The sequence below is a fragment of the Homo sapiens genome, chromosome 12 (assembly GCF_000001405.40).
Source record: "Homo sapiens chromosome 12, GRCh38.p14 Primary Assembly".
NCBI classification, from domain to species: domain Eukaryota; kingdom Metazoa; phylum Chordata; class Mammalia; order Primates; family Hominidae; genus Homo; species Homo sapiens.
Genome location: NC_000012.12, coordinates 24969746 through 24987197, shown reverse-complemented (window position 1 = coordinate 24987197; position 17452 = coordinate 24969746).

The window sequence follows — 17452 nt, the reverse complement described above, 5'->3', positions numbered from 1 at the left end:
GCAGAAAGCAAGAGTTGCAGAGGCTGTGGAGTGAGTGGCTGTATGCACTCTCTACTTATCTCTGCTGGTTTCCATTTCTTTCCTTTCTTTCACAGCAAACTCTTTTTTTGAGAGAGAGGGAAAGAGTCTCACTCTATCGCCCAGGCTGGAGTGCAGTGGCGCGATCTTGGCTCGCTGCAAACTCTGCCTCCTGAATTCAAGCGATTCTCCTGTCTCAGCTTCCAGAGTAGCTGGGATTACAGGGGTGCACCACCACGCCTAGCTAACTTTTGTATTTTTAGTACAGACAGTGTTTTACCATGTTGGCAAGGCTGATCTCGAACTCCTGACCTCAAGTGATCGGCCTGCCTTGTCCTCTCAAAGTGCTGGGATTATAGGCATGAGCCACTGTGCCCGGCCCAGCGAACTCTTAAAAAGCAGTGTCTGTACTCACAGTCTCTAATTTCTCTCCACCCATTCACTTTAGAACATATTATAGTGAAATTGCTATCATCAAGATCACCAATTGCCACCTCATTTATTATTATATAAATCCAAGGTCATTTCACAGTCCTCATTTTACTTGTACCCGTAGTTTATATTCTGCCTCCAAGAGGAGGCCTCATAGGGCATCTAGTGACTGAATTATATGATTTAGGTGCACTGTTTATACATCTGTGTTGGGTGTACTTTTGAAAATAGTCACTTGGGTGGTTCATGTGTCCATATTATATACTAGAACACCAAATAGAATGCATACTAGTATTTTTTAAATGAAAGAGGTATTTCATTCCTCCCAAATGTGCAATCATAAGTGCTTGAACTAGAGCCCTATTTAGTTTGTAGGACAAACATGTTTTTATTTTTCCAGCCTGGTAGGTAACAATTAGTGTTACACAAGTATTGCATTTACTTTCTTATTTTTACAATGTGCAAAATGGAATTACTTATTCACCATGACTTTTTCCCCATAAAACTACTCAGAGTAACTAGCACACAGAGTTGTATAATAAATCAAGCACCCTACATAAAATCTAGGTATTTTCTACATACCAAAATTAACAGACTTACCTTTGTCATTTTTATGGAAGAGAGGAAATTTGTCAGAGAAGAACTTCTAGTCCTGAATATATGGATTTGTAAATCAGAAGCCCAGGGTGAAGTTTTTATAATGGAAGGATGATCCTACTATTGTAATATATATTAGCACCATGTAGGTTATGAGAGGAAGACAGCACTGCTTATACCTGCATTAAAATTCTTTCTTCCAATTTGCATGTACATTGTCTACAATATATTACTAGGACAACTTTGCTGGGTGTCATTCCCTGACAGTCAACAAGACATTTTTATCAGCAATAACCAAAGGATGCTGGGGACTTTTTTTTTTTCTTTTTCTTTTTAGACAGAGTCTCGCTGTGTCACCCAGGTTGGAGTGGAGTGGCGTGATCTCAGCTCACTCCAACCTCCACCTCCCCAGTTCAAGCAATTCTCCTGCCTCAACCTCCCAAGTAGCTGGGACTACAGGCACCCGCCACCACGCCTGGCTAATTTTTTTTTGTATTTTTAGTAGAGACAGGTTTTCACTATGTTGGCCAGGCTGATCTTGAACTCCTGACCTTGTGATCCGCCCGCCTCGGCCTCTCAAAGTGCTGGGATTACAGGCATGAGCCACTGCACCCAGCCGGACTTATGTTTTTTACTGATCAGACCAGACAGTGCTCAGAGTAAAGACACCAGGAATCTCTTGGTGTCATCTGCAGAGGCAGAACTGGGGTGCAGCGTATTAGGCTCGCTGAGACTCCCAGGGGCCTTCTTTCTTCACACCATTCTAAATGCCAGATATAGGCACATGGAAGTCACTATGGAAAGGAAGACAAATAAAACAAAGTAGTCTATGACTTTCATTATTTGTTTGTGAAAAATAACAATAATAGATTTTATTTTATCTTGAAGGAGGGCCATATGGATCAAATTGTTGGTGAGTTTATTTCTCTTGAGTAAATCAGTTGGGGTGGAAATGTCAGAACATACAGCATCACAAAAGAGCACGGATGGGCATATCTGTTGTATCTATCACTTGGGCTATATACCTCCTTTGAAAAGTGCCCTTCCCTGCCAATAGAGGCAGATTTCCTCATAGCCTGCTAGTTGTTCTGAGTGGGAATCGGGTGCTATGTTGGCATGTGCAAAGTTCATGCACTGGAAATGTAATCCCCAACGCAACAATATTTGGAGATGGGAACTTTAAGAGGTAATTAAGGCCGGGCGTGGTGGCTCACGCCTGTAATCCCAGCACTTTGGGAGGCCGAGGCGGGTGGATCATGAGGTCAGGAGATTGAGACCATCCTGACTAACATGGTGAAACCCCGTCTCTACTAAAAATACAAAAAATTAGCTGGGCGCGGTGGCGGGCGCCTGTAGTCCCAGCTACTCGGGAGGCTGAGGCAGGAGAATGGCATGAACCCAGGAGGCGGGGCTTGCAGCGAGCTGAGATCACGCCACTGAACTCCAGCCTGCGCTACAGAGCGAGATTCTGTCTCAAAAAAAAAAAAAAAAAAAAGAGGTAATTAGGTCATGAAGGCTCTGCCTTCATGAATGAATCAATGTCATTATCACAGGAGTGAGTTAGTTATCAAGGAAGTGGGCTCCTGATAAGTTCAGTTTCCTTCTTCTCTTGGTCTAGTGTGCTTGCTTCCACCTTCCCCACTTCTGCCATGGGATGACCTTCATGAGATACAGCACCATGTTCTTGGACTTCCCAGCCTCCAGAAACGTGAGCCAAATAAACTTCTTTTCTTTGTAAATTATCCTGGTATTTAAATATTCTGGAATTCTATTTTAGCAACAGAACATGAACTAAGACAGAAAATTAGTACCGACAGTGGAGTTGCTACTATAACAATTACCTGAAAATATGGAAGCAGCTTTGGAACTAGGTAATGAGTAGAGGCTGAAAGAATTTAGAGAAGCAGGCTAGAAAAAGGCTAGATTGCCACGAATAAAACACTAAGGAACATTCTGGTGAGGGCTCAGAAGATCCCAGAACTTAGGAAAGTCTGCATCTTCACAGAGCTTACTTAAGTGGTTTGGACCAGAATGTTGATAGAAATACAGACAGTAGAGGCCATTCTGATGACGTCTCAGATGGAAATGAGGAAAAAGGTATTGAAAACTGGAGTAAGGGCCATCTTTTTTATACCATTGCTAGGACTTTAGGTAAATTGTGTTAATGTCCTAAGGCCCTGTGAAATGTAAAATTTAAAGAGCAATGAAGTAGGATACTCGGCAGAAGCTAAAATGATTACCATGGATTGAAGGTAGCCAGGTGCTATTCATAAAGACAATGGGAGAATGATCCCAAAGGCATTTAAAGTTCTTTGAGGTTGCCCTTCCTATCACAGGCCTAGGGCTCTAGGAAGGCAGAATAGGTTCAGGGGATGGGCCAGGAGCCTCCTCCACAGGCTCATTGCCCAGAGCCACCTTGGGTTTCTGTTCCCTGCGTTCCATCTAAGCACCTGTTGGTGGCCCCAGTGGTGGTTCAAGCAGCTTCAGGTGCTGCTTGACTCAGTACTCTGGGAGGTATAAGAGTTAAGCCTTGGTAGCATTCAGGCATGCAGAATGCAAAAGCTGTGGAAGCATGGCTTCCTCCACCTAAATTTCAAAAGATGCCACGGACCACCTGGAAGCCCAGGCAGAAACCTGCCACAGGGATGGAGCCACCACGAAGAGCTCCTACTAGGGCAATGCCGATCAGAAATGTGGGGTTGGAAATGCCACAGAGAGGCCCCACTAAGACAATATCTAGTGGAGTCAAGGAAGTGGGGCTACCTCCAAGACCACAGAACTGTAGGGCTAGCAGCATGCAATTCCAGCCTGGGAGAGCTGAAGCATGACTGAGCACAGAAAAGCTATAGAGGTAGGGCTGGCAGAGGTCTCAGAGGCTCAACTCCTGCCCCAGTGTTCCCAGGATGCAGGACATGGAGTCAAAGGAGATTATTCTCCAGCTTTAAAACTTTTTTTTTTAAGTAATAAGTTCTCACTATGGTGCCTAGGCTGGAGTTAGTGGCTATTTGCAAGTATGATCATAGTTCACTACAGACTTGAACTCCTGACTTCAAGCAATCCTCCTGCCTCAGCCTCCTAAGTAGCTGGGATTATAGGCACACACCACCACACCTAGCTTAGCTTTAAAACTTACTGTTGTTTTCCCTTTTAGGTTTTGGACTTACTTGGTACCAGTTACCCCTTTCTTCTTGCTCGTTTTTTCCTTTTGGAATGGAAATGTCTATTTTATGCCTGTCCTACTATTTTGAAAGTAGATAACTTGTTTTGATTTCACAAACTCACAGCTAGAGGAGTTTGCCTTGGGATGAATTGTGTCTCAAATTTTACTCACATCTGATTTAGATGAAACTCTGGACTTTGAACTTTTGAGTTGGTGCAGGAATGAGTTAAGACTTTTGGGATGATTGGAATGGAATGAATGTGTTTTTGCATTGTGAGAAGGACATGAGTTTTGAGGACCTGGGGCAGAAAGCTATGGTCTGAATATGTTCCCTAAGTTCACATGTTGGAAACCTAATCCCCAGTGCAGCAATATTGGGAGATGGGAACTTCAGGAGGTGATTAGGTAATGAGAACTCCACCTTTATGAATGCATTAATGCTGTTATCACAGGAGTCAGTTAGTTATAATGGGACTGGGCTCCTGATAAGTCCCCATCTTTTCTTTGTCTAGTACACTTGCTTCTGCCTTCTGCCAGGGATGACATTCACCAGATATCAGAGCCATGCTCTTGGACTTCCCAGTCTCCAGAACCATGGCCAAATAAGATTCTTTTCTTTATAAATTATCAAGTTTGTGGTATTCTGTTACAGCAACAAAAAACAGACTAAGACATAGGGAATAGGTAACATAATTAATATAGATTATTCTTAATGAATTTAAATTTAGTTTTCGGTGAACTTTTTCAACTTTTTGTCTCTGTTCTTGCACCTGTCCACCCCTTCCCATAATGGCCTTTTAACAGAATTTGATTCACTCCATCTGCCATAATGGACTGCGAGGAGCAGCATAGCAGGGGTTAAGAGCATGGACTCAAAATCTAGATTGCCTAGGTTTTCCTCCAAACTTTGCCTTTGGCCAAGTGACTTAACCTCTCTATAGCAGTTCCTTATCTGTAAAATGGTGATATAATAGGATCAAAGTTAGGTTAAAATGAATTGCTATGTGTAAAATACATAGAACACTGCTTAGCACATATCAGGTACTCTGAGATGTTAGCTATATTATTGCCAAAAACATATCAGACACTGAATAGTTTCTCTATGTCTTACCCATTTTTATTATCTACTAATGTGAAGCAAATCGCCCCAAGATTTAGAGGTCTAGATCAATAAACACTCATACTCTCAGTTTCTGTGGCTTAAAAATCTGGTACTGTTAGCTAAATGGTTCTGTTTCCAAGATCACTCCCATGATTATTGGCAGGTCTCAATCCCTTTCTACATGGGCATCTCTGCAGGGCTGCCTCACTGTTTGGCAGTTGGCTTCCCCCAGGATGAATGCTCCAAGGGAAGGAGACAGAAAAAGAGAGAGAGAGAAGAGGGGAGAGAAAGAAAGAGTGTGCAAAAATAGCAATAGTCTTTTGAAACCTAATTTTGGAAGTGACATTTCATCACTCGCTACATTCTATTCATTATAATCAAGTCACTAAATTCAGCCCACACTTAAGAGATTACAGAAAGACAGGCATCTCTGGGGCCAACCCACCCTACCATAGATTGTGACCTGATTTAGGGAGTGTCCCTCAATTATTTTGCCTATACACGTATAGAGAGAGAATATTATTTTCACCAATGATAGTCAGTTTCCAACATCTACCCTCCTAATAATATACAGACACTAGTTCTGCCAATAAAACCCATTTTTGACATCCAATGTGCAATTAACCAAAGCCTGGTTGGTGGAGGGGATGGGATAGTGGAGAACCTTGCAGGAATCATCTGGGCCTGGCCTCTTCTGTGCAGTGTCAGATGACCATGTTGGAACACATCTTTGACGGCAGGTCAGCTGGTTGCCCCTAGAGTTATAGCTTAAACTAGTTGGCATGTATATAATGATATGCCAACGACACTAAAATTTTTAAAGTAAATTACAGCTGGGCGCTGTGGCTCACACCTGTAATTCCAGCACTTTCAAAGGCTGAGGTCAGAGACAGGATTGCGTAGGCCCAGGAGTTTGAGACCAGCCTGGGCAACATTGGGCGACCCCGCGGGACTAAGTGGCTCATGCCTGTAATCCCAGCACTTTGGGAGGCCGAGGTGGGGTCAGGAGTTTGAGACCAGCCTGGCCAACATGGTGAAACCCTGTCTCTACTAAAAATACAAAAATTAGCTGAGCGTGGTGGCAGGTGCCTGTAATCCCAGCTACTCAGGAGGCTCAGGCAGGAGAATCGCTTGAACCTCGGAGGTGGAGGTTGTAGTGAGTCTAGATCGTGCCACTGCACTCCAGCCTGGGTGACAGAATAAGACTCTGTCTCAAAAACAAAACTAAAACTAAAACAAACAAACAAAAAATCTTGGGTGACCCGACCTCTGCAAAAAAAAATTTTTTTAATTAGGCAGGTATGATGGCACATGCCTGTGGTCTTAGCTACTAGGAACGCTGAAGTAGGAGGATTGCTGGAGGCCAGGAGGTTGAGGCTGCGTGAGCAGTGATCGTGACGCTGCATTCCAGCCTGGGCAACAGTGTGAGACTGTCTCAAAATACATACATACATACATACACAGCAGACTTTATAATGCCTTCCTCTATGATTTTCTGTAGGTCCTACCAACTCTGAAAACCTCCTCTAATTTTGAAAATGTATGGCTACAAATAAAAGAATAAGTGAAGGATATAATAAAAAGAAAATGGTTGAACTTACATATTTTTCTAACTTACATGAGGCTCAAAATAGAAAATCCAGTCAAGTGGCATGTCTATGTTGAATCCCACTGCACAGTAACTCAAAGCTGAGAAAGTATTTTGTTGACTTAATAAAGCCCTCTCTGGCAGTTCAAAAGGCTATTGTGGCATTTCTGCTTCACAGACTTCAGAGAAGTTGATCTTCCATGAACACTGAAGTACGACTCAAAGAAAGGGAGTATCCAAAACTGATAACGTAAGAATAGTACAAAAATTGTCTTTAAATTTAAAAATTGAGGTTTTAAGTGAATAAAAACAAATTATATACACTATTATCTCAAATATATAGACAACAGGAAGAAAAGCCCCAAAAGTAATATCCAAATTAGGAACAAAGAAGGTTCTGAGTAGTGAAATTGTGGATGATATTTTACTTTTCTTCAACTTCCGAAATTTCCAAAATAAAGCCTTTTTGGGATGTGTGTGTGTGTCCACATATCCATGCTTTAAGCAGGGTTCTTCCATATTGAATTTTTAGTGTTAATGCAGAAAGTTCATTCTAGAAAGCTAAAAAGGCAGAATTCAGCTATCCTTGAATATAGAGGTTAACATGTGGATTAGTCAGCCCTGGCTGCCATCACAAATACCTCAGTGTGGGCAGCTTAAACAACAGAAATGTATTTTTTCACAGCTCTGGAGGCTGGAAGTCCCAAATCATGGTGCCAGCTGCCTTGGTTCCTGGCGAGTCCTTTCTGCTTGGCTTGCTGATGGTGGCCTTCTTGCTGTGTCATCCTATGTCTTTTCCTCTGTGGCGAGTGGAGAGAAAGCTGTCTAAGATCTCTTCCTCTTCTCATAAGGACAGCGGTCCCAGAGGATGAGGGCCCCGCCCTTATGACCTCGTTTAACCATAGTTACCTCTCTACAGCCTCTATTTCCAAATACAGTTGCATTGGTGGTTAGGGCTTCAAGGTATAAATTTAGGGGGAGTGAGATGGACACAATGGTAACATCTAAACCTAGAAAATTCCTTCATGGCCTTTTTTTTTTTTTTTTTTTTGACAAGGTCTTGCTCTGTCTCCTAGGCTGAGGTGCAGGGGCACAGCCACAGCTCACTCATCCTCGACCTCCCAGGCTCAAACGTTCCTCCCACTTCAGCCTCCCAAGTAGCTGGGACCAAATGCCACCATCCCTGGCTAATTTTTTGCACTTTTTGTAGAGATGGGGTCTCTCCATGTTGCCCAGGCTGGTCTCAAATTCCTAGAGTCCAGAGATTGCCCCAGCTTAGCCTCCCAAAGTGCTGGGATTACAGGCGTGAGCCACCGCTCTTGCCCCTTCACATCATTATATAGGCAGCCTGTTCTGTTCTAGAACAAACACAGTGACAATCTAATCTCTCTCAAAATCTATAGCCCAACTAAGAACCTGTATCTTTTCCAGGTTTAAGATTGGTTGGTCATTCTTCTGTGGACGCAGCATGTCTGAAATGCTGCCTTTTTTTTTTTTTTTTTTTTGGGACGGAGTCTCGCTCTGTTGCCCAGGCTGGAGTGCAGTGGCGCGATCTAAGCTCACTGCAAGCTCTGCCTCCCGGGTTCACACCATTCTCCTGCCTCAGTCTCCCGAGTAGCTGGGACTACAGGCGCCCGCCACCACGCCTGGCTAATTTTTTGTGTTTTTAGTAGAGACGGAGTTTCACCGTGTTAGCCAGGATGATCTCGATCTCCTGACCTCGTGATCCACCCGCCTCGGCCTCCCAAAGTGCTGGGATTACAGGCATGAGCCACCGCGCCCGGCCAATGCTGCCTGTTTTTAAAAGTGTTTTCCCAAGTGGCAAAAATTAGTTAATTAAACAGGAATTAAATATGTTCTCAAACCTATGCATTCCACCTTTATATTTCCTAAGCTTGAGGAATTGCTGTGACAGTCACTTCCAGACTAAAAGCAGATCCTGCTTGTTCTACACTGACCCATCAGTGGATTATTGCCCAGTCCACACACCACCCATTATCTGGAACCACACCAGAGGTTTTGGAAGAACTCAAATCCATATAGCAATCCGTGCTGCCCATGTGTGGCTATTTAAATTTAAATTAATTAAAACTAAATAAAATTTAAAATTCAGTTCCTCAGTCACACAAGCCACATTTCAAGTGCTCCACAGCCATATGTGGCCATTAGTGACCATATTGGGCAGTGTAGAATATAGAACTATCTATCACAGAAAGTTTTACTTTACAGAGCTTCATTCTATTATAAAAAGATTGCCCGATATCAGAAAATGCTGGTTACTTACTCTCTGACACAGATGTGTACATAATATAAGAGTTTTTTCTTATCTCTTGGAACTGAGACTACAAAAATGAATGAGACCTCAGGAATGCCTTCAGGGGGTTCACTTTCTAGAACTGTGATGTGAATTACAGTAATCTGTTACCTTACTTTTCACTGGCATTCCAAATTTCCCATAAACCCCCTCAGTGGAGGTTATGACATGAGTGAAAAATAATAATGATGTAGGACTTCTGTAGATGCAGACATTTTCCTGCCATTTTGCATAAAAGGAATTACTCCTTTAACATAGGATTCTGCTTTTATGGGGAGACTCTGTTTAAAGACCAGTTCTTGGCCAGGCTTCGTGGCTCATGCCTGTAATCCCAGCTCTTTGGGAGGCCACGGTAGGAGGACTGCTTGAGCCCAGGAGTTTGAGACCATCTTGGGTAACAAAGTGAAACCATGTCTCCACAAAAAATTTAAAAATTAGCCAGGGATGGTGGCTACATGGGAGGCTGAGGTGGGAGGATCGCTTGAGCCCAGGAGGTTGAGACTGCAGTGAGCCGTAATTGTTTTACTGCACTCTAGCCTGGGCAACAGAGCGAGACCCTGTCTCAAAAAGCAAAACAAAACAAAACACAAAGACCAGTTTTTTCATATGGAGTTCTCTGATTCCACTTCCTCCTGCAACTTCCTTTCTTCCTTAGTGGCAGAGCATGGTGGTGAAAGTCCTGACTTGCAATGCCTGGTTTCAGATCTCAGTTATGCTATTAATACTTTCTGGCTGTGTGACTCTGGGCAAGTTGCTTAACCTTTCTGTGCTTCAAATTAATCATCAGTAAAACAACAATGATAATGCTACCAATATTAAGAGGTTCTGTAAACATTTCGTAACTTAAAACGTATAAAGTGCTTAAAATGGTACCTGCCACGGAGGTAGTGCTCAATGAATGTCAGCCAAAATTAAGTTATTCAAGTTTTTTTCAGCAAGTAAAGTATCAAATGTCTTGAGCTAAAAGCACAAATATCTCTCTTTCCTAACCTTCTAGAACACTTTGCTTCATTTTTCAGCAGGTATTAAATCCTGCCATCTATTAGAGAGGTCTCTGCACATATCTATCTCCATTACCTGATAAGCTCTTGGAGAGCAGCTTGTCTTTTTCATCTTAGTAGTCTGAGTAGTGCCATTGTCATTCATTAACAGGTTTTTAACTTTTTTTTTTTTTTAAAGATAGGGTCTCACTATGTTGCCCAGGCTGGTCTCAAACTCCTGAGGTCAAGTGATCCTCCTGCCTCAGCCTCCCAAAGTGCTAGGATTACAGGCATGATCCACGCCTGGCCATCTGTTAAAGAAAGTGTAATATCACATTCCTTCCTGAATATCGTGGATCATCAAAACCCTGATATCAAATTATATTTCTATTTGAGAAATTATTTTGGTATGTTATTTAATTAATTAATTTTTTTTTAATTTTTATTTTTTTGAGATGGAGTTTCACTCTTTTTGCCCAGGCTGAAGTGCACTGGTGCTATCTCAACTCACTGCAACCTCTGTCTCTTGGGTTCAAGTGATTCTCCTGCCTTAGCCTCCCAAGTAGCTGGGACTACAGGCATGCGCCACCATGCCTGGCTAAAATTTTTTTGTATTTTTAGCAGAGACGAGCTTTCACGATGTTGGCGAGGCTGGTCTTGAACTCCTGACCTCAGGTGATCCACCCACCTCGGCCTCCCAAAGTGCTAGTATTACAGGCATGAGCCACTGCACCCGGCTGTATTTTTATTTTTTTAGAGACAGGGTCTCACTCTGTCACCCAGAGTGCAGTGGCATGATCATAGCTCACTGCAGCCTCAAACTTCTGGCCTCAGGCAATCCTTCCACCTTGGCCTCCCAAAGTTCTGGGATTACAGATGTGAGCCACTGCACCCAGCTGGTATTCTAGTTTAAACTTTAGTTTAAATAATCATGCCTGGGTGACATAAGCTGAAGAGAAGGAAGGTTCCTGAAAGAGCCCCAGCAGCTTGAATTTTGCAACAAGTGTTTTCAGATGGGTTCTCTCCCTAAGTATTTAATTTTTGTTACAGACCCACAGGCTCTTAGGCTCCCTGTGTAATGGAAATTAACACGGGACCAAGTACGTTTCCCAGACAAGGCTCTACTTTGGGGCTTGTGCTCAAGCACAAGGGAGGCAGTAGAGGCACAAGGGTTCTCTGGCTGGCAGCCTGAAAAGAGCCAGTAGGGATTTTTTATGAGGCAAAGTGTGGGAATTGACATCAGGGGTAGGGTAAGCAAGGCTAGGGTGGGTTAGAGTGTGCAGGTCAGCATATCTGGTTGCCATAGTTATCTTGAGTAATGGGCCATCTGTGGTCTGGCTGGCAGCAACAAGGCTATAAATCAATTGTTCAGCATTGCTTTCCAAGGTGGGACACTCCACAACCTTGGTTTGCTGTTTGGCTCTCCTAATGACAGTTTCTGGAGTTCTTTAAGTAACAGGCCTGGTTAGACACTATGAGAGCACAGAGGACTGGCTAGTTTCCTTTTATGACTAAAGCCTCAGGGTTAGCAGGTACAGCATCAGCAAGGTAGTAGTGTAAAGGAGGTTTTGAAAAGAGAAGGAAAAAAAAAGAAAAAAATAGGCAAAAGAAGAGCCGCATCTCACTCCAGTTCTGTCTCATTATGACACAAGCCTACCTTAAAAGGCACCAATAGGACAGATCTGGGAGCAGCGGCTCTCTTTATAAGAGTGTATGAATGGCCGGGCATGGTGGCTTACACCTGTAATCCCAGCACTTTGGGAGGCCGAGGTGGGTAGATCACCTGAGGTCAGGAGTTAGAGACCATCCTGGCCAACATGGTGAAACCCCGTCACTATTAAAAATACAAAAATTAGCCGGGCGTGGTCGTGGGCGCCTGTAATCCCAGCTACTCGAGAGGCTGAGGCAGGAGAATTGCTTGAACCTGGGAGGTGGAGATTGCAGTGAGCCAAGATTGTGCTGCTGCACTCCAACCTGGGTGACAGAGTGGGACTCCAGCTCAAAATAAATAAATAAATACATAAATAAATAAATATATGCAGATTTTAAGCTGTCCCAAAACAAAGATAAATATTGTGTCTTACAATTTATACAGCCATTTTCATAGACTTTTTATTAATTTTATAATGCTTCTGATATTTGTCTATTCATTCTGCAAAAACATTGGGTTCATCTATGTGCCAGGCACTGTACTAGGCACTGATAATACTATTGTCTTACCCCTCCTGCTGCCTTCAGTACAATGGAGGGACAGGTTTTTTTTTTTTAGGGGACAGGTTTCAAATAAAATTATATAAGTAATTATTTAAATTACTATTGTGAAAACTGCCATAAACAAGTGTTAAGTGGAATAATTCATCTGGCTAGAACCAGGATTGGCTTTCCTGAGAAATTAACACATTATTATGTCTTAAAAGGTGAATAATTACAACAACCAAAAATTTTCCCTGGGTTATCGTTGTCTTGTTAAATAGGAACTTAAGCAGGATGTATGTCCAATTTGCCTCTTTCCAAAACATCCTCACCAACATACCTCCACATTCATTAGCTTTTCCCAAAAATTCTAAATATTTTACAACTGAAGAGCTGAGACAGCAAATTTTGAGGGGCCCCTCATGCTCACCTATATCTTCAGAAAATTTGCACTTGTTCTGCTAGTTACACATTAAAATTTAGACTCGTAGGCTGTTAACTGCATGATAAATAGGCTGGTGTTCCAACGTCTCACCAGAAAGCCATGGAGGTGGAAAAAGTGTAATTACCTGAGTCCAGAACCTAATTCCTTTTTATATCTAAACTCAAAATATGTTGTGCATCATTTAATAAACAATTTCCCAGGACTCTAACAGCCATGTAGGAGGGGACAAATTTCAAACTTTGGAATTTGGAAAAGGCTTTCAGTCTTTGGAAAAACACGCCACTTAAAGGCAACACACTTGGGGCCAGGTGCGATGGCTCACACCTGTAATCCCAGCACTTTGGGAGGCTGAGGTGGGCAGAACACTTGAGGTCAGGAGTTCGAGACCAGCCTGGCCAACATGGTGAAATCCTATCTCTACTAAAAATACAAAAAATCAGCCAGGCGTGGTGGCAGGTGCCTGTAATCCCCAGCTACTCGGGAGGCTGAGGCAGGAGAATAGCTTGAACCTGGGAGGCAGAAGTTGCAGTGAGCCGAGATCGTGCCACTGCACTCCAGCCTGTGTGACAGAGCTGGGCTACATTTCAAACAAAACAAAACAAAACTATATATATGTATGTGTTCATATATATCTGTTTTTTTCACTATCCCCTACATTTTCTAATGACCATCTTGTGGCCAAAAACTATCGTGATTTCAGTGCCCACATTTAAGTGTGTATTTATAATCACGTTATTGAAGGATTCACCTTAAGTAACAATGTTTTAATTTTTGATATGGTATGGGTCTGTGTCCCCACCCAAATCTTATGTTGAATTGTAATCCCCAACATTGGTAGTGAGGACTGGTGGGAGGCGATTGGATCATGGGGGTAGTTTCGGATGGTTTAGCACTGTCTCCCTAGGGCTGTCTCGTGATAGAGTTTCACAAGATATGGTTGTTTGAAAGTGTGTAGCATCTCCCCTCTCTTCCTCCTGCTCCAACCCTGTAGGACGTGACGTGCCTGTTTCCCCTTCCCCTTCTGCCACGATTGTAAGTTTCCTGAGGCCTCCCCAGCCATGCTTCCTGTACAGACTGCAGAACTGTGAGTCAATTAAACCTCTTTTCTTTATAAATTACCCAGTCTCAGGTAGTTCTTTATAACAGTGCGAGAATGGACTAATACAGCTTTTAGTAAAGTGTTGCTAAAGCTAACACATTCTTTGTGTGTGAGTTCAAATTTTGATAAACACTGGTCTATTCCATATTTTTCTATAATCTCAGTCACTGGTAATAACAGAAACCAGATACATCTACAAGGAAAAATAGCTATGACATCATTTTTGTATAGGACATCCCAATTAACATTAACATTATTAGAAGCTAATTTTTTTCTTTTCTCAGGGGTAGGAACCTATGTCAGAATGAATATTTTCCTTTTCTTCTTTGCCAGGGTCCAGCTCAGACAAAGTGAAGATACAAGAAACAGACTCTTTAAACAAGATTGTTCAAGTGAGATAATAATTACAGCTATTATTTACAGCTTTCATAGCTAATGAAATATTTATTTTCCAATAGGCCCTGTAGGAAATTGACTACTTTGTATCTAACTTTGCAATCGTATTTTTGCATTCTTTCTTTCATTGACTATAAATATTTCTGTTTCTTCTATACTTTTTTTTTTTAGGTGAAAGCAAGTTTATTAAAAAGTAAAGTAATAAAAAGGGCCGCTCCATAGGCAGAGCAGGGTGGGAGGGGGCTAGTTGGCTATTTTATTGCAATTTATTGATGATATGCTAAACAAGGGGTGGATTATTCATGAGTTTTCTGGCAAAGGGCAGAGGAGCTCCCCAAACCTGGGGTTTCTCCCCCATCCTCACCATATAGGGTAACTTCTGGACGTTGCCACAGCATTTGCAAATTGTCATGGCACTGGTGGGAGTGTTTTTAGTATCCTGATGCATTATAATTAGCGTAAAATGAGCAGTGAAGGTTGCTGTCATCACCTTCTTGGTTCTGGCTGGTTTGGGCTGGTTTCTTTACTGTCTCTTCTCTTAGCAGCAGAGTCTTGTTACCTGTTGTTTACTATCTCCTAAACAACAGGTTTACTACCTGTCTTATCAGTAGGGTCATGTGACCCATTGTCTTGGGAACCAGTCCTTACAGACATTATTAAGCTATTTCTTTAGCTGTGAACATCTTATAATCATGGGTTCTCACTGGCAAGGACTGCACCTTGCTGGTTTTAAGATGGAGTTGATTGTAAAATGGTGTCACCTTGGCTCTCCTATGCTCTTGCCTCCTTAACATAATCCCCCCTCTACTTATGAGACAATTCTTCATCTTAAAGGGAGATGAAGGACAAAGGTTGATGTTGTTGTTGTTGCTAGTTTTTTTGTTTTTTGTTTTTGGTTTTGTTTGTTTGTTTGTTTTGAGACAGACTCTCACTGGGTCGTCCAGGCTGGAGTGCTGTGGCGCGATCTTGGCTCACTTCAACCTCTGCCTCTCTGCCTGGTTCAAGCAATTCTCTTTCCTCAGCCTCCCGAGTAGCTGGAATTACAGGCACCTGCCACCATGCCTGGCTAATTTTTGCATTTTTAGTAGAGATAGAGTTTCACCATGTTGGCCAGGCTGGTCTCAAACTCCTGACTTCAAGTGATCCACCTGCCTTGGCCTCCCAAAGTGCTGGGATTACAGATGTAAGCTGTTGTTGTTTTTAGAGACAAGGTCTCGCTCTGTCAACCAGGCTGGAGTGCAGTGACGCGATCACAGCTCATTGCAGCCTTGACTTCCTGGGCCGAAGCTGTCCTCCCACCTCAGCCTACTGAGTAGCTGGGATCAAAGTCACACTCCACTATGCCTAGCTAATTTTTGTATTTTTTGTAGAGACAGGGTCTCGCTATGTTGCCTGGGCTGGTCTTGAACTTGAGGGCTCAAGAGGTCCTCCTGCCTCGGCCTCCCAAAGTGTTGAGATTACAGATGTGAGCTACCACACCCAGCTGAAGGTCATTCTTCTGTAACTTCTTCCTGCTGTCAGTGAACATTGACCTTAGAGACAGGATTCTCTCATAAGAGCTTGCAGTCAGCCTCTAGGGAGGCAGGGGAGCTTCTTGTTTGTGTGATGGCCTGATGATTTGATGGGCGTAGGCCTTGCCTAGTATTGGAGGTGTAAAAATCTCTGGATGCCTGATCTAAGGGACCGAAAGGCAGGATATCTTTATTTCTTGGTTCAGAAGATGGGATGTGTTAGAAGCCTTGCGTTAGCATCATCTTTATCTGGAATTGTTGTAATCTAGAAGACACAGACTTTTACCAAGAGATTAAACAAGCAAGGACCAGATTAGTAATAACAAGATGGCTATCAAAGGCGCTAGGAAGGGCAAAAACTAAGTGAGACTTGGGAGAATGCTTTTAATGGTTGACCAGATATATTTGGAATGGTGCCTTGGTTATATTTATGCAAAATTTCTTCTATACGTCTTTGAATGAGCTTGAATCCCTTGTTGGCTTTCTCATTGATAAATTGAATAAATTTTTTGACACATATTCATTCTATATGTATGTGAGAGTCATGTTACTAGTTTTTGCAATTTATACTTTAAAACCAGTTTGGAGGTCTCACTGAAATGTCCAGGTAGACTCACTTGGCTGAGACAATTAAACTGACTAAAAATTTACCTTATGGGTTGCTGAAATCCAGGTATGTGGCAACACAAGTTTGAGTTGGCTGACTGTTCCCCTCCTTCCTTTTTTTTTTTTTTTAACATTCCATGTTTTTGTTTTTGTTTACTTTGTTGGACAACTCTATTAATCTGTCTTTTCTAATTTGTGATTTGGGCCATTTCTTTTTCCATTACCCAGATTCAGGAACTAGTGCGTAAAAAAAAATAATATGCAGGTAAATGTTTAACAATTGGTTCTTTCGTGAGAGGAGAAAGGAAAAAACCCAGTCAGGCAGGCAGTTAGGGTGGGTCCTCGGTTGAATTATTTCAAACAAAAGAACAGCCTGCAGGCACAGATAAGGGAGCTTACGGGGGCTAGCCTAACACTTGCCCACAGATAAGAAAGGCTACTCGAGTGACTTGCCCAGGTATGCCTGCAATGGAAAATTCTATCCCCTAACACGTGCACAGTAAGGGGAACAAAGGAATATAGAGTAACTCAAGCTAAGGGCCTGCATGTGCATTAGGAGGATGGGGTGGGGCCCCCAGAAGTTTGCACCTTATGCAAATGAGATGCCCAGCCCTCATGGGTTTCTTATAAAAGCCTTTGCATTCAACTGTAAAAAAAAGGCGACCCTTTTCCAAGACCCCTCTCTATTGCAGAAAGCTGTTCTTTCTTTCACCTATTAAATTTCTGTTCTAAACTTCACCCTTGGTGTGTCCACATCCTTGATTTCCTTGGCTGTGAAACCAAGAACTTCAGGTGTCATCCCAGACAACACAGCTGCTTCACTTTGAGGTGGCGAGAGGGGCCGATTTTCAACATTTATTAAATTCTGTGCTATCAATACTGGTAACATGGACTCTTTTAACCTACCAATGTGACATCACTGAATGCACAGTTAGGAAGAGCTGAGCACAATAGTCTCTCATGAGCCAGTGGGGCCCAGCCACAGCACACCTCTGCTAATGAACCACTAGG